This window comes from Homo sapiens, chromosome 6 (genome assembly GCF_000001405.40).
Source record: "Homo sapiens chromosome 6, GRCh38.p14 Primary Assembly".
NCBI lineage: Eukaryota > Metazoa > Chordata > Mammalia > Primates > Hominidae > Homo > Homo sapiens.
Window position 1 is genome coordinate 70,463,103 of NC_000006.12, and position 24,269 is coordinate 70,487,371.

Sequence of the window (24,269 nt, forward strand, 5' to 3'; positions counted from 1 at the left end):
TGGAACTACTTTCAGTTTCTCAAGTTTGATGGGTTCTATTTGCTCATATTTTGTGCATGCTCTCCTCTCTTCTCCTTATTACCTCCTTTTTAAAACCGTAGGTAACTCCCCTAAGCAGTTAGATGTTTCCTTTGCCTTGCTGTCATAGTCCTTTTTCTTTTTTTTGAGATAGGGTCTTGCTCTGTCACCTAGGCTGGAGTGCAGTGGTGTGATCATAGTTCACTATAGCCTTGAACACCTGGGCTCAAGTGATAATCCCACATCAGCCTCTCAAAGTAGCTGGGACTACAGGCGCATGCCACCACACTGGCCTAATTAAAAAAAAAAAAAAAATTTGTAGAGACGGGAGTCTTAACTGTGTTGCCCAGGCTGGTCTCAAACTCTTGGCCTCAAGCAGTCTTCTCACCTCTGCCTCCCAAAGCGCTAGGATTACAGGTATGAGCCACCACTCCTGGCCCATAGCATTTTCTATGTACCTCTTTTAGCTTATGTTGTTATAATTTTTTCTCAGAAATGGGATTCTACTAAAACAAACATCAATCACCATTAAAGAACAGTGCTTTAAAAAAAAATGAGGAAAAGTTAAACATATAGCTAGAGACATTTCATATTATGTCACTAATCCTTTACTGTTATCAGTAATTGAATAATCTCAACAGCCATAAATGGAAAACTCACCATAAAGTTAGGTCCTTGAATTAAACTGCATAGATTACAAAATGGAAGTCATTTGGCAAGCCTCCATTTTGCTTTCCTCAGATTCAACAGCTTCTATCATTGCCCTTTAATTGTCTTTTTACCTGGTTTAAGAGATAGTGTTAGATTGCTATTTGCTTTGGCCTGCTGAAATAGGCAGTTAAGAGATTATCACATTGTACTGCAATTATTTATTTGAATGTTTCTATCCAAACTAGACTGGGAGCTCTGAAAGTGGGCAGAGTTCTTACTTATGTTCATGTCTTTTACTTCCCAGTAGTTGAGAGACTTAATAAATTATGGTTGAATGAATAGTCACTTGGTCACAAAGTAAATGAAAGATACCAGTGCTAACTTTTAACCAAAGGAAACGGAAATGCAGATAGTGATAGAAATAAAATATAAATTATCATGATTGAATGTAAGCATTTAGAAGCCTCTAATTATCTCAAGTCTTTAAAACTATAGATCTGAATGTTTGTGTTAGCAGATAACTGATAGGCAAAATAAAAATCAAGTCATTTGAACAAGGAAATAGGATATTAAATTAAGAAGTTAGACGAACATTCATTTATTAAATAAATACTTTATGACTGCCTACTATGTGTGAGACCTAAGTGCTCAGTCCTAAATTAAAGCAGTGAAAAAGATTAATGTGGTTTCTGACTTAATGGAGTTGTTATCATCTAGCAAATATTAGAAAACAAAGTTTCAGATTCAAGACAGTAATCTTAGCATACACGTTTAGGTCTTTTGTTTCCCAGACCCTTCAGTTTGATAATAACATTAAAGTGTAAAAAGGAATAACAGAACAATATTTCAGTTATTTATTTTTTTAAATTTCTTTCTTTCTTTCTTTCTTTTTTTTCTTTTTTTTTTTTTTTTGAGACAGTCTCACTTTGTCACTCAGGCCGAAGTGGTGCAGTGGTGTGATCTCGGCTCACTGCAACCTCCGTCTTCCCAGTTCAAGCGATTCGCCCATCTCAGACTCCCAAGTAGCTGGGATTATAGGCATGCACCACCACGCCTGGCCAATTTTTTTTTTTTTTTTTTTTTTTTTTTTTCAGTAGAGATGGGGTTTCACCATGTTGGCCAGGCTGGTCACAAACTCCTGACCTCAAGTGATCCACCTGCCTTGGCCTCCCAAAGTGCTGGGATTATAGGCATGAGCCACCACACCTGACCTAAAATTTTGTTATCTTGAATAACTGAAATTCTATACCATTGAACAGCAACTCCCCATTTTCCTACCCCCTGTCAACCCACATTCTGCTTTCTGTTTCTATGAGTTTGACTGCTTTATATACCTCATATAAGTGGAGTCATGCAGTATTTGCTTTTCTGTGACTGGCTTATTTCACTTAGCATAATGTCCTTAAGGTTTTTCCATGTTGTAGCTATGACAGGATTTTCTTTTCTAAGGCTGAATAATATTCTTTAATATGTACATACCACACTATCCATTAATTTGTAGATAGACATTTATGTTTTTTCTACCTCTTGACTATTATAAATAATGCTTCAATGAATGTGAGTGTGCAAACATCTCTTTGACCCTCTTTTATCAGTTCTTCTGGATAAATACCTAGAAGTGAGATGCTGGATTATATAGTAGTTCTATTTTTATTATTTTTATTTTTTGAGACAGGGTCTCGTTCTGTCATCCAGGCTGGAGTGCAGGGGTGCAATCAAGGCTCACTGCCCTCGACCTCTTGAGCTTAAGTAGTCCTCCTACCTCAGCCCCATGAGTCACATATGTTTTGTACATATGGAGCCTAACTTTGTTGCCCAGGCTAATCTTGAACTCCTGGACTCAACTGTTCCTCCTGCCTCGGCCTCCTAAAGTGCTAAGATAACAGGCGTGAGCCACACACTGTGTGTGGCCAGTCGTTCTATTTTTAATTTTTTGAGGAACCCCCATAGTATTTTGCACAGCAGCTATACTGTTTCACGTTTTCACCAACAGTACACAAGAGTTTCAGTTTCTCCACATCCATAAGTGCTGATCATGTTCATAATACTAACATGAAGTAAGAAATAAATGAGACAAGGTCCTTGCCTTCGAGAAATCTCCATTTCTTCCTCCTGAAAGGCTCTTCCCTTTTATCTTCATTTGACTAACTCTTTTTCATGGTGTTTCAACTCAAATGCTATGTTGTCAACAAAGCCTCTCCTGGTTTCACAGCCTAAGTTCACCCCCATATTGTAAGATGTCATAGCACTCTGTCTTCTGTACACTTAGTGTAGATGTAATTTACAGAATTAGGTGAGGTCAGGGAAAATGGTTGGTTTTTTTGTTCAGTCCACTTAGCTGAGAAAATCCATGGCACAAAGCAGCTATATAGTGAATGTGTAACTTTGCATTATGAAATATATTGCACATTTTTTGACGATTACATAACACAGTATTTTATTAAATAATAAAATGAACACCCAGGTACCCAACCTTTCATTTAAGAAATAGAACATTACTAGTACTGTAAAATCCTCCTGTATACCCCTCTTGACGTTTGTGTTATTCTTTTGCTTTCTTTATAGTTTTATCATTATGAGTGCATTTTGTCAGTATAACTATATTCCAAGGAAATATCTGGTTGAGTTTGAAAAAAATTGAGTGGCAAGCACAAACCCAGCTGTGTAAGATAGCATAAATATCGCTATTATTAAAAGAAGTCTCCCAGAAGAAAAGTTGAACAGAGTCTCTGGGTTATGGTATGCTTCTTTATACCTGAAAGGTTTTAAGACTCCCTTTGGAGATGTTCGTGGGCAAGGTCAAGAGTGAATTGTGTAAAACAGAGTTTACCACTTTCAGGGCTTCTGGCAAGATTGTAATGTGATAAAATATTGGATATCTAACATATGGAACAGACTGATTTGCATCTGAACTTAACATTGCCCTCCTCCAACTCTCAGGAGCAGGCCAAAGCAGAAAACTTCAGTGAAGTGAAAATAGTATCATCAGATGATCTAGGCTAGAAACTTCATTAGTACACCTTCAAATAAGCCAAGCACTGAAAAGAAATTTAGCCAAGCTTTTAATCTGTCCTCAGGTTAAAGTTGGTACCCTAGCAGCAGGGATGTTAACATATCTTTTATGGCACACAAATCCGAACTACATTGGTCACTGTAGATTAGCTAAGGAAGAGGATCTGTTTGGGATCTTCCTTCACCATCTTCCTAGGCATTCCCTTTGCATCTCTTCTATGTTGAATCTCTTATTTCCTAACATCTGTTTTTTCTCTTTCTTGGTTTATTCTCTCAGTTTCGTAGAGCCTATAAATAGTTAACTTGTTGAGAAAAGTGGCATGGGAAATAAATATTTTGAAGCCTTCAGCATCTAAAAGTCTTTTCATTCTACCCTTAACAGTTATTTGGAAGTTCAGCTAAGTATAGAATTCTAGGTTGGAAACCTTTTTTCTTTGGAATCTTGAAAATATTACTCCATTATCTTTTGGTTTGCAGCATTGCTGTTAAGAGTTCCAAAGCCATTCTGATTACTAATCTTATTTTTTTCTCCAAAAAAAAAAATGACTGATTTTTAATCTTCTATGTGACCTTTTTCCCCTTTCAAAAATCTGGTAGAATATCCTCTTGGTAACTGGGGTTCTGATGGCACATAATGCTGTACCTTGGGTCTTTGAGTACTTCAGTTCTGAGAAATTTCTTAATTTGTTAACAATTATCTCCCATCTGTTTTCTTTGTTCTTTCTTTTTGGAACTTCTTTTGTTTATAAGGTGGATCATCTTTACTGGCTTTCTTAAGTTTTAGTTTTTTCTTCTCCTTTTTCCCGTTCTCTTCTTGGCTCTACTATGATATTTCTTCACCTTTATTTTTAACCCTTTTTTGAGCTATTTGCTTTTGTGCTTTCTATCTTTTACTCTCTTATTCTCTCTCCCACTCCCTTTCTCCTTCTTTTCTCCTTTTCTTCTCTCCTTCCCTCTCTCTCATCGCTTCTCTCTTCATTTTAAAATCCAAGTGCTCTTTTGTCTGAGTGTTCCTTTGCTATAACAATGTTTTCCTGTTTCATGAATGTAATATCTTCTCTAAGAACAATATTCTTCTTTTTTAAAAAAATTTTTCGTATGTTACTTTTTTTCTCTTTGTTTTAGTCTCTAACTTAAACATGTTAAAAGTGTCCTTCTGATATTTGATAGGCCTCAGTTGTCTAAACATGAGTGAAAGGAAGGCTGATGGGAAATTCTGAGAGCCTGCAGGGGACTTGTCTGAGCCTCATTTTAGGGCGATGGTGAGCCATTTGTCTAAGGAATCTTTGAAGTCAGTATTGATAGTTATTTTTCATTGAATTCATTAGATTCCCCATGTCAAGAACTGTGAAGAATCTGAGATTATACTGTATATATCACTGAGAATTCTTCTCTATGGTTTCTCATGTTTCTGAGAAGAGAGAAACATTTTATGAGCAGAGACACTGAAAGCCTTCTGTTTAAAAAGACCATCTTTTTAAGGATATGTGTGCAATGAACAGCTTTGGAAGTTATAGACAGTGTCTCTGTCTAGAACATACAGTACATTTATCTACTTTCCAATATAATGGACAGTGCAAAAGTTACATAGGTTTTCTTATAGCTACCCTTATAAAAGATAGAGGTTTCCTAAGCTTAGGGTTCCTCAATTGTGACCAAAAACCCACCACATACATGGTATCCACCTGGCCTGCCTCCATGTCACTCCCATGGGACTTGGAAGAGTGAATACAAGGGAAACTAACATGAACAGGAAGCTCATGCTGCTTGCTATGCTGTGCATAATCAAACCTTTTGTCTTTGACCCAAGAGTCTTGTGTCTTCTGCCAACATATATGAAACTGTGGCAGACTAGCTTGTTAGGTTGCAAGTTTGGTAAAATCTAAGATTTTACAGTTCTTGAAATGACATAGAAGACTCTTGTCTGTCTCCTTCCTAGAGAGTAAGAATCTAGCTGACAGCCTTCTAGGAGCCCAGTAGAGAACAATTCTGATCTCTGCACTTAGTATTCAATATGCCTATGCTCGTATATTCATGCTCTCTCAGTTTTGCCAGGTGATTTTTAGTTCAGAGGACTTCTATTCTCTTCAGAGAATAAACTTCCAGACTTCTGCTAGGGTGAAGGAGGGGACAGCGACCTAGTGGCCTGTAGTAGGGGAAAGAACACAGGAATCAGTTTTCTTCTTTGCTGATAGGTTCCCTTCTCAAGAAAGCATTGCCTGGCTTTTCTGTTTAAAATTACTATCTTTCTTATCCCTCTTTTCCTTTCTTTATTTTTCTCCATAGCACTTAATGCTTGTAACTTTCAAATGTATTCTATCATTTACTTACTATATTTATTCTCTATCACACCACTCCGTTAGGATGTAAGCTCTATGAGGTCGGAGATTTTTATCTCTTTCATTTAACTGTGTATCCCAAACACCTAGAGAATACCTGATACATAATAAGTATTCAGTAAATATTTGTTGATCGGATGAGTGAATGAATGACTAGGAAGTTGCACATCTGTTGCCTGTTGCTTCTGGTTTGAGAATAAAATTAAGATGAAGTTTATTATATGTAAGTCACTGGTATTTCTTTTTTAAAGCTTAAAATATTGATGTCAGTTGAGGATATAGGCAACTTTCACTGAAATCATTCACAGCAATTTAGAATTACTGATTTTGTATACAACTTCTTATCTGGCATGAGAATTCCTTTAGAGCATTCCTAAAGGCAGCCTTCTTTTTTCTGTCAGATCATTTTTAGTATTGTTGGTAGAACCAGTGGGTTTACTGAAGAATTGGTTGTGAGGCATAGAAAAGAAGAAAGAATAAAGTTCACAGATCTAGTAAGTGGCAGAACCAGGACTAAAACCTAGCCAGTCTGGCTTCACAATCTATGTTCCTAACCACTGCACTATGCTGCTTCTTGATGAGAAAAGAACAGCACCCCCACCCCCTGCAAAAAAAAGAGACGAAAAAGGGGTGGCCCATGAGGTAGGAGTAGAACTAGGAGAGTGTGATGTCCAGAAAGCTACATTTAAGAAGTGTATCAAGAATGAGAGGATGGGCAACATAATGAGACCTCATCTCTACAAAAAATAAAAAATAAATTAGCTTGGCTGAGGTGAGAGGATCGCTTGAGCCCTGGAGGTCAAGACTGCACTGAGCCAAGATAAGTGCCACTGCACTATAGCCTGGGCACAGAGTAAGACTCTGTCTCAAAAAAAAGTAGAAAAAAAAACAACAACAAAAGAACAAGAATGAGAGAATGCATATTATATGATGGATCATAGTATCTATGTTAGATACTGATTATAAGTCAAGTAAGATGAGGTTTGAGAGTTGACCTTTGGATTTGGCAAAGGAGAAATCATTAGTGGTTTTGATAAGAACAGTTATATGGGCTAAAGTCTGATTGGAGTATGAATTATTGCTGTGTAAAAATTTATCCCACAACTTAGTTTAAAACAGCAAACATTATCTCACAGTTTCTGTGTGTCAGAAATTTAGCTGCATGCCTCTGACTCAGGATCTCTCATTAGGTTATAGTCATTTACTTCTGCTGTATTCACACAAATCCTACTATTACTTCTTTTTTTTTGGAGATGGAGTTTCACCCTGTTGCCCAAGCTGGAGTGCAGTGGCACAATCTCGGCTCACTCTGCAACCTCCGCCTCCCAGGTTCAAGCAGTTCTCCTGCCTCAGCCTCCTAAGTAGCTGGGATTACAGGTGGCCGCCACCACACCCACCTAATTTTTGTATTTTTACTAGAGACAGGATTTCGCCATGTTGGCCAGGCTGGTTTCAAACTCCTGACCTCAAGTGATCTGCCCGCCTCAGCCTCCCAAAGTGTTGGAATTACAGGCGTGAGCCACTGCACCCAGTCCCTACTATCACTTCTATCACATAGATCAACCCTGGTCCTTTCTAGGAGATTGTGCAATAGTGTGAATACCAGGAAGAGAATCATTGGAGGCCATTTTAGAGGCTGGCTATCACACAGTGAGCTGAAGAGAGAATGGGAGATGAATCAAACACACTAAATAGCAAAGACTTTTGAGTTTTGCCTGAAAAGGGAGCAGAGAAATAGGGAGTTTGTCTAGGTGCATCTGCAGGTAGATCCTATAGTAGAGCTTATAGAACTTCTGATTATTTTTATTTTCTCATGAAATAAGAAACAAATTTATCAGTGAGACTGAAGGCTAGGTTTGAGGAGAGAAAATAATTTATGAAATAGTCATCTAAGAATATGGGGATAAAATGGATTTGGAAAATACGGTATGATTGCTAGGCAGCACTAAAGACCCACTTGAAATTAACGGTCATGAATTTAAAGTATAGCCAGTCAAGATAGCTGTTTGTTTTTCTCCAGGCACATTCAGTTTGTGGGTACAAGTGTGGATTGGGCAGAGAGCTGGAGTTGGGATTTATCCAGGTCAATATGACAAAGCAAGGGTAACATATATCCTTAATAGATTATATGCAAGAGTGTATTATAATGATGGATCATAGGATTTAAGATGGGTAAGGAAAAAAGGAATTAAGAGAAAGTAAGGGGATAATGAAAAGGAGTAGGGTTCATGGAATCTACTCCTAAATGTGGTCAAAGGATTATTGAATTTGTGGTCTTAGAGGGTATGAACCAGAAAGACAGGTGGAAGTATGGGAGGAGAGGTTGATTGAAATTCACATTACAACAAACATTACACATGTTCTCACTTATGAGTGGGAGCTAAATAATGAGAACACATGAATACATCCGGGGGAATGACACACCCTGGGGCCTGTTGGAGGATAGGGGGTGGGAGGAGGGAGAGGATCAATCAGGAAGAATACCTAGTGGATGCTGGGCCTGATAACTGTGGGATGGGATGATCTGTGCAGCAAACCACCATGCACACATTTGCCAGTGTAACAAACCTGCACATCCTGCACATGTACCCTTGAACTTAAAAGTTGCAAATTTAAAAAAAGAAATTCAAATTACAGATGGATTGCAGTCATTGGTAATATAAAAGTCTGGAGAATGATCACAGGAGTGAGGAGCTGAGGAGGGTTAGAGAGCAAGAACGCTTAAAAAGAGGAGAAAAGGAACCCAGGAGATCAAAGATTAGGTTTACCTACATAGCTATTGAGTTCACCAACAGTTATGGCTAGACTAGTTTTTGAAAAAGTGATCTTAAATTAGGAAATAAAGCCTTCAAGAAATGAAGGCTTCCCAGGGTTTATAGAGTACAAAAATGAGCAGGATAGTGAGTGGTACTGTGCTGTCTGATCACAGGAGATTCAAAGCCAGTGGTATAAGTGGTTTTAGGGAGGAGAGACAAAGAGTGTCTCAAAGCATCAGTAAGCAACAAAGAAGCTCCAGACCCAGTGGTAGAAGTTATATGGAAGTATTGAGAGAGATGCAGCATCTTCAGGGAAGAGCAATAGAGAAACCTTTGTTTCTTCAGGCAGTGGATTCTCACCTCACGTTACCTGGGTGCTCTCAACAAAATTTACTTTCATTGAGGAGAATTTCTTTCCCTTCTCAGCTCTTCAACATACTCAGAAGTTGAGTTTCTGGTCTGCTTGGTTTCCCTTTAAGTATATGTTTCCCGAAGCATCTCAAACTTAAAGAAAAGTTGCAAGTACATTATAAAGAACTTTTTTTCCTGAACCATGTAAGAGTAATTTGCCAATATGATTGCTCCATCATCCCAAATATTTTAGTGCATTATTTTTTTCTAAAGAATATTCTCCTGCATAACCCCAATACATCCATCAAAATCAAGAAGCTAACACTGACACGTTACTGTCGTCTTATCCATAGCCCCATTCAGGTTTTGCTGGTTGTTCCAGTAAAGTCCTTTATAGCAAAATGATCCAGTTCCAAATCATATATTGTAATTAATTGTTATGTCTCTTTAGTCTCCTTCATCCTAGAACAGTTCCTCAGTCTCTTCTTGACTTTGATCACCCTGACACTTTTGTGGAGACTACAAACCTGTTATTTTTTAGAGTGTTCTTCAGTTTGCATGGGTTTACAATTTCGTCATGATTAGATTCATTTTATGTGTTTTTGACAGGAATATCTCAGAAGTGATGCTTGTTCTTCTTGTTACATCCTATTAGGTGATACGTGGTTTCTATTTGTCCAATTCCTAATAATGTTAACTTGGATCTCTTAATTAAGGTGCTCTCTTCCCAGCTTCTCCGCTGTAACATTACTCTTTTTCACTTTGCAATTAATGTCTCTTGTTTCTTAAACTTCAGATTTTTTCATTCACTTATTTATTTATATCAGTATGGACTTACAGATTTCTGTTTACTCAATGGATGTTAATCTATTACTGTCATAATTTATTTTGATGTTCACTTTGTCCCAGATATGGCCGGGGCATTCTCTTCCAGCTAGCTTCTATGCCCTTTTGTTGTGTCCCCACATTCTCTAATCACTTCCTTACTTTCTGGTATAAAAAAGATGGTCCAGATTTGTCTGTGCGCCAGCTTTGGAACCAACCATTTCTACAAAGCTGTGGATCCTTTTAGTGGAGGATAGTACTAAAGACTAACATTTGTGGTTGTGCTACTCCCAGGCCATTTGAGTGGACAAAGATAGTAAGTACATTATATACACCATACACTTACACATACATATGCAAATTTACATGTCTTTATCTAAATATCTGATGAAAACCATAAGTTCATATCAGTACTCTCAGTTTCAATCCAGTACCATGGGATTCATTCTGTATTTGTGTCTCCTTTCCATATGTGTACATCCTTTCCCTGATAGGTAAGGAAACTGGCTCCCCTTATCCTTTAATATATTTCCTTATTTGATCAGTCCCTTATATGTGCCAATCTCCTGTCACTGCTTCTTCTCCCACACAGATGGTCTCCTTGAACTAGTTGGGCTTCACCTTATGCAAGGTCACTCCCTTATGTGGACCTCCTCCTTACCCCACTTGACCTCAGTAAGGCCTTGTGCCAGGAGTTCCTTTTCCTCACTTCACTTGGATTCCAGTAGTGTGTCAAGCTGCTGCTGCTGCCCACCGCCTTCTTGACTCCCACCCCCATATGAAGTCTTTTTATCCCTTTCAGATTCCTACACACCCTGTACCAGGCTGCTCCTCTGTAAAGACGCTCTCTCCATCTAACTTGTGTTCCAACCCCCCAGCCTGAGGTGCCTTCCCTTGTGGTTGCCCTGTTCATCCTGCTTGGGCTCCCAATACCTTACTCAAAGTCACCGCTGCACTTAGATTGCCTCCTCATCCTGCTCAGGTTCTGACACTTTACTCTTGGCTGCCCTCCTCACTCCACACAGGCTTTGACATCAGGCCACCACCCCATGTGGATTTCATATGGGCGTTTGGACCCTGTGCTCCCTGGCCTGCAGAGGCTCCCTGCCTTTGACTGACATCCACCAGCTTATGTTGACATCCTCATGACTCCAGTTGGAGTCTTATATCCCATTTTGAGCTCCAAACCCACCTTGATCTCTAGTTTCTTTTTCTTTTTCTTTTTCTTTTTTTTCTCTAGTTTCAATTGTTATTTCTGGAGCACAGGGTAATAAGATCATAACAGCAGGTAGGCTGTTGGAGTGACATCAATGACCCAGAGATAAAAACCAAACTTCAAATGGTAAGGACATAGTCCTCCACAAGACTCCCCTCACGTCAGCCATGAGTTTAGTGGTCTGCAAGCTACCCACAGCTGTGAAGAGCTGGCTACAAATCTGGGGGTTCCCATTATTCCCTCATGTTTGATAATTCAGTAGAACAACTCACCAAACTCAGCATAGTGCTGTACTTATTATTACAGCTTTATTACAGCAAAAGGATTCAAATCAGAATCTGTATAGGGATGATCTGAGAGGGTCCCAGATGTGAAGCTTCCGTTGTTTTCTCCCCATTAAGTAAGGACGCATTAACTTTCCTCCTCTCGAACATCCAGTATGTGATGATATGCGGAGTATTACCAACCAGGGAAGCTCACTCAAACTTCAATGTTCAGAATTTTTATTGATGTTTCCTTATGTAAGCATGACTGACTGAATCATCGCCCATGTCGCTCAGTCTTTAGCTATTCTCCCCTCTCTGGATATTGAGGTTATATCACTAGGCTCAAAGCGCAACTCTCTAATCACATGGCTGGTCTTAGTGATGTGGCCAGCCCCCATCCTGAGTCATCTCTTTAGCATAAACTAGGGGCCACCAAGGATTTAGAGGCTACTTCTCAGAAACTGGAGACAAAGGCCAGCCAAATTCTTTATTCCAAGTGTTTAGAGCTGAACTCCTAGCAACCAGTACAAAGGCCAACCAAATTCTTTACTATTCAGCTATGGAAAACTAAATTGCTTTCCTAAATGTGGTATACAGATCAGTTGTTCACTCTAAAATTTCTGCTTCGATATTTCCTCATTTACCTTTCAGATTAAGATGTCATGCAGTAATTTTACAATGCTCATAATGTACTTATTTATTTTCTAATCATAGAAATAAGTAAACTTTCAGAAATGTTCCAATACTGCAGTATAAATTGATAATGACACTATAGTAATATAATCAAACATACAGTATTTTAAAGTACAAGTGTTAATTTGCTTGTGTTATATTTTACTTTTATCTGTCAATTACATATCTTATCTGTTTTAGGTATGACTTTAGCCTTTCCAGCCTCAGTTCATGATTCTCTAATTTGCAGTAAAACATTTCAAATTTTGTACAAAAATGAAGAGGTTGTTTTAAATGATGTTATGATCTTCAAAGTAAAAATGCTATTGGATGAAAGAAAGGTAAACATCTCTTCATATTTATTTATGTAAATATTTTTTGTAATGCCTCAAGATGTTATTTCTAACTTTCTATAAAATTTCAAAAAGTATCTCATAGTGTAATTTCTTTTCAGATTGAAGAAACCCTTGAGGAAATGAATTTTCTATTATCCTTGGATCTACACTTCACAGATGGAGATTATTCGTAAGTAGCTAATCAATTAAAAAACCTTTAGGCACTTATGACTGTTATTTGTTATTATTAGATTGCCCATTTTCCTCTTAAAATTCATCCTATCCCTATCTTGTCTTGAACTACTTGTGTTTTCTGGGGAAACTTCATGAGAATGATTAGGCCAGCTCTATTGTGCCCATGCCGAATCCATGAGCTCCAGATAACAAAACCAGACAAGTTAAAGAAATATGGAACAATTTTTCCTAGCTCCTAGAAATTGCACTGTTAATGTAATACCACTACCGTGAGGCATTTAAATGTAAATGAGCTCTTTTCCACTGTATCACTGGCTAATCTTTCTTGATGGCATCAGTTATGCTTTCTTTAGGTAGGACTTTGTTGATATTCTGAGAGTTATCAAGACTGACGATGTGCACTTGACAGTTGTTCTAGTTCATTAATTTCCAGAGCCCTTGAGGAAGTTTTAGGATTGGCTACCTCCAACTTACCCACATACCTGGACATGCAGTCATATGTTTTAGGAACAAATTTTGCTTGTGTTCATTTAAAACAAGAATCAGAGATTCACTTAACAATTGTATTTATGCAGGGTTTTTTCCCCCATCTCAAATGTAGTTTTAGCAATAATTCTCAAAAATGATATATAAATTCAGACTGCATGTGGGATAAGTAACTAAAAAGTCACATTACTGAAAGGCCTACTTTAGATGTCCTCTTCACTATATGGTAGCTACTGTTCCTCTGTAATACTTGTTCATTACAAAGAATTTTGTAAAGTCTTTTTTTTTTCACCAAGTCAGAATTATTTAAGTGGAATAAGCTGAAATGAGTAGGTAGTTCATTACCTGTAGATTGTTAAAATGGATGGATGGAATTTTTTTAAGTATAATTGGATATAATTTTCATGGCATTGTTTCACATTTTTAGTGTGTATAAATCTAATGATATACTAAATATCTACAATAAGATATGTTTTACTTTTTAAAATAAGCAATGGCCTGCTTATTTTTGAGTAGCACTTAATAAAATTTTGTAGAGTAAAAGTAATTTGAAATATCCTTTGGGATTTATTATAATAGTATTTGACCTATGTTGTACTGCAGCCTTGTAATAAACAGTATTCTCTATGGGGTAAAATTTTAAGATGAGATTAATTCCTGAAGTATCAAAAAGGATTCATTTTATAGGGATATTAGTGAAAAAATAGTTCATATCATGGACTGATAGAAAACAATAATAGGTGGGATCTGATTATTTTCTCAATTGGTATGTTTCATATTGCTTCTAATGCAACTTTGATGCTTTAAAAATTACTCTTATTCGAAATTTTTAAAAAGTAATTAAGTAAATAGTTTTTATAGTTTCAACTACTTTATAATATATTGGCGTTTACTAAATGTTTCATACTTACATGCTAAGTGTTCCTTTTTACAGGGCAGATGATCTGAATGCCTTGCAACTAATAAGTAGCCGAACATTGAAGCTGCACTTTAGCCCCCATAGAGGCCTTCATCATCATGTTAATGTTATGTTTGATTACTTCCACCTTTCTGTTGTGTCTGTTACAGTTCATGCATCATTGGTTGCACTACACCAGCCACTAATAAGGTAAATTTGACTAATATTTTTGTATTAAGCCATTCTTACACTGCAATAAAGAAATACCTGAGACTGGTCAATTTATAAATAAAAGAGGTTTAATTGGGTCATGGTTCTTCAGGCTGTACAGGAAGCATGATGCTGGCATCTGCTTAACTTCTGGGGAGGCCTCAGGAAACTTATAATCATGGCAGAAATCAAAGGGGGAGCAGGCATCTCACATGGCCAGAGCAGGAGCAAAAGAGTCAGGAGGAGTTGCTACACACTTTTAAATAACTAGATCTCATGAGAACTCACTCACTATCATGAGGACAGTATCAAGAGGAATGGTACTAAACCATTCGTGAGAAATCTGTCCCCCTGATCTAATCACCTCCCACCAGGCCCCATTCCAACATTGAGGATTACAATTCAACATGAGAGCCTTATTAATGTAGCATTTTTTTATTTTTATAGTGAAAACGTGTACTTTGCTAAAGATAACTGAAATAATGACTTTTAAAATTTATAATAAAATTCAAGAGTATGGGAAACATTGGCTTGATAACTTTTTTATTACAGAAATATGAAGCCATCTTTGTCAATCCCAAATAAGTTAACAAAGAAAAAATACCATCTGGAAATAACCACACAACATTGTTTATTCTGTACCTATGTTTTGTGCAATGTTAAACTATAATTACTCTGGAAAAGTATGTGAATTTTTTCTTATTTTTTCTTTGCCTCTTATCCAGATAGGCTAATTTTATCTTCTTAACTGTACATCATACAGTGATACTTGCTTTCCAAGTCATTAACCAATTTTATGAATTTTTACTCAACCTTTTAAAACTATATCATGTACCATTAGTTCAAAGGTATATAATATTCTGGATCATAATAAATGCATTGAGATAATTATTTTTTTCTGTTCACTTCCATGGGTAGACAGATTTCTTTCATTAAAGTAAAAATACAATGCAAGGTCTTCAGTTTTTACAACATCATCCTTGTAGTATGGGCAGCAGATGGATGCTTCAAATCAGTAAATTATATGAAAGTCTCCAATTTTATTTGATTTCTAAACTATCTACAATTTCTGATGTACATCTGATTCTGACAAATGATATTGGGATGATGCTTAAGGGATATGATGGTAAACTGATTTATCAGAAAACTAAGTAAATCATTTTGCAAAATTACCCTCAGAATTTATGGAAGCCCAACACAATTTAACATATTGACCACAGGTAATAACCTCCTATGGCATATCTTTACATTGTTTTAAAAACTAATTGAAAACATCTTTCATTCTGTTGCTCTCTCATCTCTTACATGTAGATCACCTTGACCTAGTTCCTTTTAGAGCACCAGGCCAGGAAGACATATATTTCTCCTGATGACTTGTTTTGCCTTCTTTATTCTATAGAAAGATCTGTAACTGGTAGTTTTGCTGTCTTTTTCTTACCTCCTAGGCCTTTGAGAGGTCGTGCTAAGTTATTATAGCTTTTATAAGCAGGAAGGTGTTTTTTTATTACATACATAATTTTATTATAAACTTAAAATTTTTTTGGAAGATTTTCTGAAATAGAATGTGTGAATGAAACTTTTCTAACAAAGTGTGTTTTTTGAAATATAACTTTTAAATAATATACAGTATTGCTTTTATATGATTTTGTGTTTGGTTTTAATGCTAAATGTTTATCTGTTTATAAAATGTATTACTCTAGTTTTCTAAATCTCTTCTTTTTGTAGTTTTAAGAAGAACCCCTAATTAAATTGTTTTAACTATTTCTTTTTAAGATTTACCAAGATTATCTTCATAAAACTAGCTGTGTTTCTTTCCTGCAAAATGCACAAACAATTCATAGGAGGTTAGCTCAGGTTATTAATGTTAGTTTTTAAGGCCCTAATTAAACAGAGTAGATATTCACATCACCATCGTAGTGAGTTAAATACGTGCTTCCTCTTGCAACGCAGCAATTTTTGCCACAGACTAATAGGAGAAAGGGGCAGCTCATCTCCTAGAGACCATTTACTGGAAGAAGAAATTTTTGGCTCAGAATCAGAAGCCAGGAGGATTAACTGTTGGCTCTGGTTAGTGACTAGAAAAGAAAACAATATGCCTGTAACAGCTGAGGTTGCTGTTCTTTATCTAGCTGCCATGGGCCCTTATATCTAACACTGTTGCTGCTAGAACTTCGCTGTAAAAGCAGCAGCATCTTTACCAGCCTTTCTCTACCTATAAATGAAAGGTTGGAAAAGGAAAGCAAGGAAAGGGGAAGGGGAAGCTTTTTGCTGGTGGTGTGTTGATAAAGGGGTCATGTCTAAGGGTAACATTTCCTACTCTATATTCTTCAACAGGTTTTTCCTGAAGTTTTATTATTGGTGGGTTTTTTTATCCTCCAATCATTGAAAAATTTTTAATTTATAACATTATCTTTTAAATTTTCATTTTTATTTAAAACAATTTTTATGGTCAATGCAATCTATAGACGTTATATCAGTTACTTAAAGTAAGTGGCTTAGGATTTCTTTCTTTGCTTGCTTTTTATTTGAACTGTTTCTTATATTTGAATTTTTTAAGTACAACTTTTATGACAACTCTGAAAAACACATTGTATGAAGTGGAATTTACCACTTATTTGAGACTCCCTTCTTTGCTGGGATATAGACATTTTACTTTTGCAAAGCAAATGGATTTTGCAAGCAAAACCTGCACTCTGCTTATGGCAACATTATTTTTCTTTTCTGTCTTTTCCCTTTTGCCAAACTATCGAACAGTTCAAATGCTTTGGCCTACTTTATCTCAAATATAATTGTGTATGATTTTTCAACAGTTTAACAGAAATATGCTTCTTCCTCTATGGAATATAAATGTTAATACTAACAGAAGTAATTCATATAGTATGTAATTGATGGTGCCTTGAAGCTGGAGGCTGGAGGATTGCTTGAGGCCAGGAGTTTGAGACTAGCCTAAGCAACATAGCAAGACCTCACCTCTACAAAAAATAAAAATTAGCCAAGCATGGTGGCACATGACTGTAGTTCTAGCTGCTAGGGACTTGAATAATAAAAATTATTTTAATAGAGCTTATAGCCTTTTAGTAAAGAGAATTAAGGGAAATAAATTTATTTTTGAGAAATAGAGGCATCAGGTAGATTTAGTAATTTTTCTTTTTCTACATTTACATGGGAGCTCTTTATTTCTGGGAATAGCATTCATATTTCATTAAGTGTTAACACTGTAAATTTGGTAACCAGTTCTGACATCAGGATTTCCAAATTCAAGCTTGGCTTTCATTTGTTGTTTAGCTACTCTAAATCCCACCATGTTTTATCTTTGATGTTCTTTGAGACTTCCAGAAGTCTAATTATAGCAAGCAATGTCAAACATCTAGCCCTAATTTTTTAACATTCATTTTATTTTTTCATGATTATTCAAATTATTTTTTAAAATTACTTTAGGAGTACTTTTGAACTTATAAACTTGCAAAACCCTTGCTGTTCTATTCCTGTAAGATTTTCCTTTGTAAATATTTAACTTACATTCAAATAGACTCGTATGACAATAATAATGTAATACTTCTTCCTCCAGCTTTCCTCGCCCTGTGAAGACAACTTGGTTAAATAGAAATGCACCAGCACAAAACAAAGATTCCGTGATTCCTACTCTTGAAAGTGTGGTCTTTGGTATTAACTACACAAAACAGTTATCACCAGATGTAAGAACTGAATATGTTTATAAATCTTCTCCTTATTTTAAAAGAAGTGTTTTTAACAATTTTATCTGTGAATGTTATATTTCTTTTTTAAATTATTTCAGCTCAGCAACTTATAGATCTAATTAAATATGATCTTAAAAATTGTTTGGTTCTAATTGTCTATTATGAAAACTAACATGATACTTCAAAATGTTACCAGATTTAGTGGATAGACATCTGTGACAGCCTGTGCCCTTTAACTTGTTACTGTCACCCCTTGGTCCAACAACTGGTAGAATCATTCCAAAGGAGCCTTTAAAGAACAATTGACAGAGCTGAGACCCAGCGTAGAGTAGCGCAGGCCAGGTGTTGTGGCTCACGCCTGTAATCCCAACACTTTGGAAGGCTTAGCCTGGAGGATTGCTTGAGGCCAAGAGTTTGATACCAGCCTGAGCAACATAGCAAGACCCCACCTCTACAAAAAATAATGGTGGCACATGTCTGTAGTCCCAACTGCTAGGGAGCCTGAGGCAGGTGAATCGCTTGAGCACAGAAGGTTGAGGCTGCAGTGAGCTGCAATCATGTCACTTCACTCCAGCCTGGGTGACAAACTGAGACCCTATATCTAAAAAAAAGAAAATTAAAAAAAAAAAAAGAGTGGTACAAGTACAGCTATTATTATAAAAGAAAAGGGGACATACTATAAAAGCTGAATGTCTGTCCTTCAGTCTAAATGTTATATAAATACCATGCTATCAAAAATAATAATTTAATCTACTTGTTATAAAAACCCACTGTAACAGAAATTACTAGGGCCACATTTCATGTTTAAATTTATTGTATAAACAACTCTCAAATATTACCACATTTTTTATATGTATTAGAATAAATTTAGTTGACAGATGGTTAAGTATTTTTTCTTTATTTTTCCAAGTTTCACATGTAACATTTTGTATTACTGACACTCTGTATCCTACATCTGTTTTTTGTTTAGGGTTGTAGCTTCATCATTGCAGACTCCTTCCTACATCATGCGTATCGTTTTCATTATACACTTTGTGCCACTTTGCTGCTAGCCTTCAAGGGATTGCACAGCTACTTCATTACAGTAACAGAAGAGATTCCTTCTTGTCAGAAACTAGAACTGGGTATGTTAAAAGTAGCGAGACTTATTCTACAGTTCAAATCATTCTCTTCAGTCTTATATTGCTAGCTATCAGCTTTGCCATAGTTTTTCTATACTAAAACTACAGTGTTTGTGTGCTTCACTTCTCTATCAATTCCATCTTTTTCTACCTTGATAATCACTTTTTGCAATTTAAAAGTGTTTTTCAGAATACTAAAAAATAACTTCTTGGTGCTAAATGTGAAATGAGTCTTTTAAAAAAAACATGTCAGTAATCTGTTCCTCTTAAAATATAACCCAAAAACATGTTAGAAAGCAAATGTAATTATCTGCAGAATCATAGGAAGGTAAATTAAAGCCATACTTCCAAATATTTTACAGTCTAATCAGATTGTAGGTACTTAGGGCATTTTTGTTTACATTTGATTTTATAATAGTTATCTCAGATCTCAAATTCCTTTTATATTGTTTTAGGGAATAATAACATTACTTAGTATTTTAACATTTTAAAAATCATTGAAATTGTTTTAAAAAATCAAACTTCAGGTTTCATTCAAAAGTAATACCTGTATATATTTGTAGTGCATAATAAAAAATCATATTGCCTTGATTTTGTATGCCATTTGTAGCTTGCAAAATGCTTTTACATACATTATTTCACAGAAGATAAATTATTGGGATTGGCAAAATAAGTTCTTATTCAGACTTTTTATGTCAGTTTTATTAGCTTTTATTTTCAAATATTGGCTAATAGCTTATAAAAATATATTTTAATTTCTTTAGAATATATTGTTTTATAAGTTTTTTAATAAATCATAAATTGCCTTTTAAAATTTATTGAATCTGTATTCTTACTTTATTCCTTTGTTCCTCAAGGATTTCAGTCTTTTAACAATATTAGTCCACTCCCTAAAGTAGTCACTGTTCCAGAACATAGTTCTTGGGTTTGAGACTAATCAGACTACTTAAAAACTTGTGTCGGATTACAGAGGAATTGCAAGAAAGTGTAAGAATTTCTACCCCACTTAAATTCAGCTGTGAGAAAATGCTGGCTATTGTGCCACTATCAGCAACTACTCAAGTGCATTTAATTAATTAATTAAGTCCACTATTCAGTCAGTTCAACTCACACTTCTTGACTAGACATAGATATCACTAAATTGACTGTTTAGAATTCTTGATTCAGTAATCCTAATGGTTTCATAGATACACAAGCAATAGGAAAATGTGTTTATTCTTTTTTGACCATGTATTCATTCTCAAAACAAAAATGGTAGTGTGGAAAAGACAATCTTCTGATCATTATTCTCTGAAACAGTCTCTATTTTCCTTGCTACTTTATGTTCTTAGAATTCCTGTTTCCCTTAGGAAAATTCTATAGAAGGCCACTACCTCAAATGTAAATTTTTAAAAATCTTCTTTTGAAAATGAATCATTTACAGAATAGAGCTAATTTAGGCTATCACTTATCCTCAATTAATGGAAAGTTATGTTTCAAATATCTTTATTGGTGGTTTGGAAATCAAAAACAAATTTTAGTTAGTTTTAATGACCAGACCACAAAACTATTATACTAACATATTAATGAAGGACAGTATCATGTGCCTGAAAAACAGTGTGATGAAAAGTAGTGATGTAAAGCTTAAAATCCATGTGTAATGTCATTTCTACAAAAAAACCCAAAAACATGTGTTAATAGCTTTGATGTGGAATACTACAGTAGTTTCAAGGAGGCATTATCTTATGTTCAAGAGTGCACATTTGGAACCATTTCTGTCACTTACTTACTTTGAGCCTACAAACACAAAGTGGTTTCCATTCACATGGTAAGAAGATTGAAGGGAATCAGATGTGGTACATGTGTCAGGAAGCAAAGGTGAGATTATCCAAAAGAAAAAGGGTGTAAAGGATCTCTAGGAACAATACTTCTTAACAGTGTACTTCCCTTGGGCTTTTAATGAGCACCTCCTGTGTCAGTTACTGTGCTAGGTGCTGAGGAAAGAATAGGTCCCTGCCTTTAAAGAACTTTGACTTCTCCTGTTCCCTCTCCTCTCACAGCAACAGTATTAAGAAATCAGCTCAGCATTGGGATGGGAAGGAGAAATTCACCCAGCAAAATGGGGCTTCAATATATGAGATGGGCTTATAAATTACCTGTATAAGGAAGATATCCATCTGCATGTAATATTAAAGTAGATTTAACATGTAATATTTACAAAGAAAAACATATGAACCACATTTTAACTTAGAAAAAAATCCTCTCTAAAAGGTAGTATGTTTATTGGTAAAATTTATAATTAGTAATTAAATAAAAACATTTCTCCTTTTAAAGGCAAATATTTATTTCAAATAGCTTAGACCAGCAGTCCCCAACTTTTTTGGCACCAGGGACCAGTTTCTTGGAAGACAATTTTTCCACGGATTGGGGGAAGTGATTGTTTTGGGATGAAACTATTCCACCTCAGATCATGAGGCATTAGTTAGATTCTCATAAGGAGCATGCAACCTAGATCCCTCACACGCACAGTTCGCAATAGTGTTCACGCTCCTATGAGAATCTAATGCCGCTGCTGATCCCACAGGAGGCAGAGCTCAGGAAGCAGTGCTTGCTCGCCTGCTGCTCACCTCCTGCTGTGCAGTCCAGTTCCTAACAGGCCACAGACAAGTACCAGTCCACAGTCTGGGTGTTGGGGTTAGACAGTGTTAGCAATTATTATTAATTAGTCTAGCTTCAGCATGATCATGTATTCATAAGATTTTCAACTTTTTCTCTGGTGAGGATGGCTTTTATGTCATGTATATTACTTTGGGCTTATAGATGTAATATAGAAAGTATCGTAATAAAAGTGCCCTTATATTTAATTTCAGAAGTTAATTACAGAATGAATGTCAACTTTATTCCAAATTATTTGCTTAAAATATTTTATCAGAAAATAAAATTCTAAAGCAAACCCAGACTTCAGTTTTAAATAAGTATATGATAGAAATAAAATTACTAGTACCTTACACATAGACTTACTTAAAATATATTTCTCGAATGAATGAATGAAATAGCACAATACAGTTTTCATTGTTACTTGAAAAAGTATAGGCATCAACATAAAGCTTAACAGTTTCCTAGGGATTTTTAAAATCAAGATTCATCTTCAGTAAATATTGGTAATATATTGTGGTGTTCTTAAACTTTACGGTTTTTATTTTCCTTTCTCTTTATTGTGAATTTTAGTTTATTCTTGAATGCATCCTGTAAGAAAACATCTAAAAATACTATTAACTTAAAAATAAAAGTATTTGTTACATATTCTAAACTATCAATGTCTTTTATTTTTATTCTAGCAAAATAAAATTGTGAACACTAATATATTTCTATAATGTACTATTGACCAAACACCACTATATTCACCAGTTTTAATAAGTGGATACAGAGTAGTTCTTGATTAAAGAATATTTCCTTCTATTACTTACCACTTTCATTGAGTTTTCAAATAAGCATATATTTAAACTTCTTAAACTTGACTATGCTTTGAAAACTTTTCTAAAATATGTTCCCTCTTTTAAAATAACGCCTTGAGTTCCTTTCGGCTTTTTTGCCTTTCTCTTTTCTCCCAGATGAATGATGTACATTTTCTGATGACATATAATTAAATATTGGTTTGGTGCAGGGAGCTCTTACTGAACATGAGAGTCAGGAGTTCTGGAATTAGGTTTGGGCAAGTCACATAGCCTATATGAACCCCAATATCTACACTTGTAACAGCAGGGAGTTAACTCTGAGATCCCTGCCAACCTAAAATTCTGAGTCTAATTAATTAAGACATATTGGATTATGAAATGTTGAGTGGCACATACATTTAAATTAAAAAACCAAAGAAATATATACTTGAATGTACATCATTTGTAATTTTGATAAGCTAATTAACTAACTGCACTATCAGATCAACACTAAGTCTATTATTAACAAGTTGGAAAATTCTAGTAAGTTTTGTTGTGAAAGGAGTATAGTAACTAGTGCTGTGTGCAATCCTTATGACTAGCCAAGGCCAACATGCAGCTCCTATATGAGCGTCTTCTCAGAAGAAAACAGCTACGAACACAGAAAGACAACCATCTAGGTACGTTTACAAATAGCTTAAGTAAATGATCCCTTTTAATTAAAAAGTATGAAATTTTGCTTTAAATTAGCATCAGATTTCATAAATGTATATTTAATAATGTGGTATGTTTCCACCATTCTGAAGAACTTACCTTTAAAATCAATTTGGTTTGTAGATAAATTTTGGTTAATTTCCTAATTAATTTGTAATATTGAAGTTTTTACTTAAATCTGGAAATGGTAAATGCAAAACTCACTGGCTTTTTTCATATGTTTTTTAAAGTTTCTATGAAGAGCACTTTTTCAAAACCATGATTATTACTACAATTTGTTGGTTTAATGACATCGCCTTAAATTTGCTCAGTTATTTTATCTTTGGCTAGGCCTAGTGATAATGAAATGTGATTTTAAAACTAAACCAGGCCGGGTGCGGTGACTCACGCCTGTAATCCCAGCACTTTGGGAGGCCAAGGTGGGCAGATCACCTGAGGTCAGAAGTTGGAGACTAGCCTGACCAACATAATGAAACCACGTCTCTACTAAAAATACAAAATTAGCCGGATGTGGTGGCGCATGTCTGTAATCCCAGCTACTCGGAGGCTGAGGCAGGGGAATTGCTTAAACCTGGGCAGTGGAGATTGCAGTGAGCCGAGATCGTGCCATTGCACTCCAGCCTAGGCAACAAAAGTGAAACTCTGCCTCAAAAAAAACTAAACCTAGTTTTCTGCACTGCAGAAATAGAGAAGAGATGGGAGGCTGAGGCAGGAGAATTGCTTGAACCCAGAAGGTGAAGGTTGCAGTGAGCCAAGATCGTGCCACTGCACTCCAGCCTGGGCAAGAGAGTCGGACTCCCATCTCAAAAAAAAAAAAAAAAAAAAAAAAAGCTTTAAAAAAAGAAATAGAGAAGAGAAATATCCTATCAGGATCTGGGTTGTGTTGTATGTTTGTTTGTTTGTTTTAGTCAATTTGCATTTATTTTTTGTTATTCTACATTTAAAAAGCAAAATAACATCAAATCACCACTCTCTGGATATGTTATGCATGGTAAAGGAAATGTTCTGATCTCATTATTTTATTATACATTTTCATATATATGTTAGACTTTTCTTGAATAGCCATAATTTATTATCTATGAGTATATTAAAA

General features: G+C 35.6%; 1 protein-coding gene across 59 annotated transcripts in view; it reads left to right on the plus strand.

The window, feature by feature from the left end:
- The window catches only part of FAM135A (family with sequence similarity 135 member A), a 147,667-nt gene that overhangs the window by 49,595 nt on the left and 73,803 nt on the right, over positions 1-24,269 (plus strand). For 27 of the 59 annotated variants that reach the window (XM_047419158.1, XM_047419165.1, XM_047419169.1 and 24 more), the window contains 6 exons: positions 12,308-12,447; positions 12,561-12,631; positions 14,057-14,230; positions 17,799-17,925; positions 18,899-19,052; positions 23,065-23,142. In XM_047419158.1, coding sequence (XP_047275114.1) covers positions 12,308-12,447; positions 12,561-12,631; positions 14,057-14,230; positions 17,799-17,925; positions 18,899-19,052; positions 23,065-23,142 — 744 coding nt within the window. Of the gene's footprint in view, positions 1-12,307; positions 12,448-12,560; positions 12,632-14,056; positions 14,231-17,798; positions 17,926-18,898; positions 22,342-23,064; positions 23,143-24,269 lie in introns of those variants that run through there. The other 32 variants (XM_047419175.1, NM_001351607.2, NM_001162529.3 and 29 more) reach the window with 4 other exon arrangements.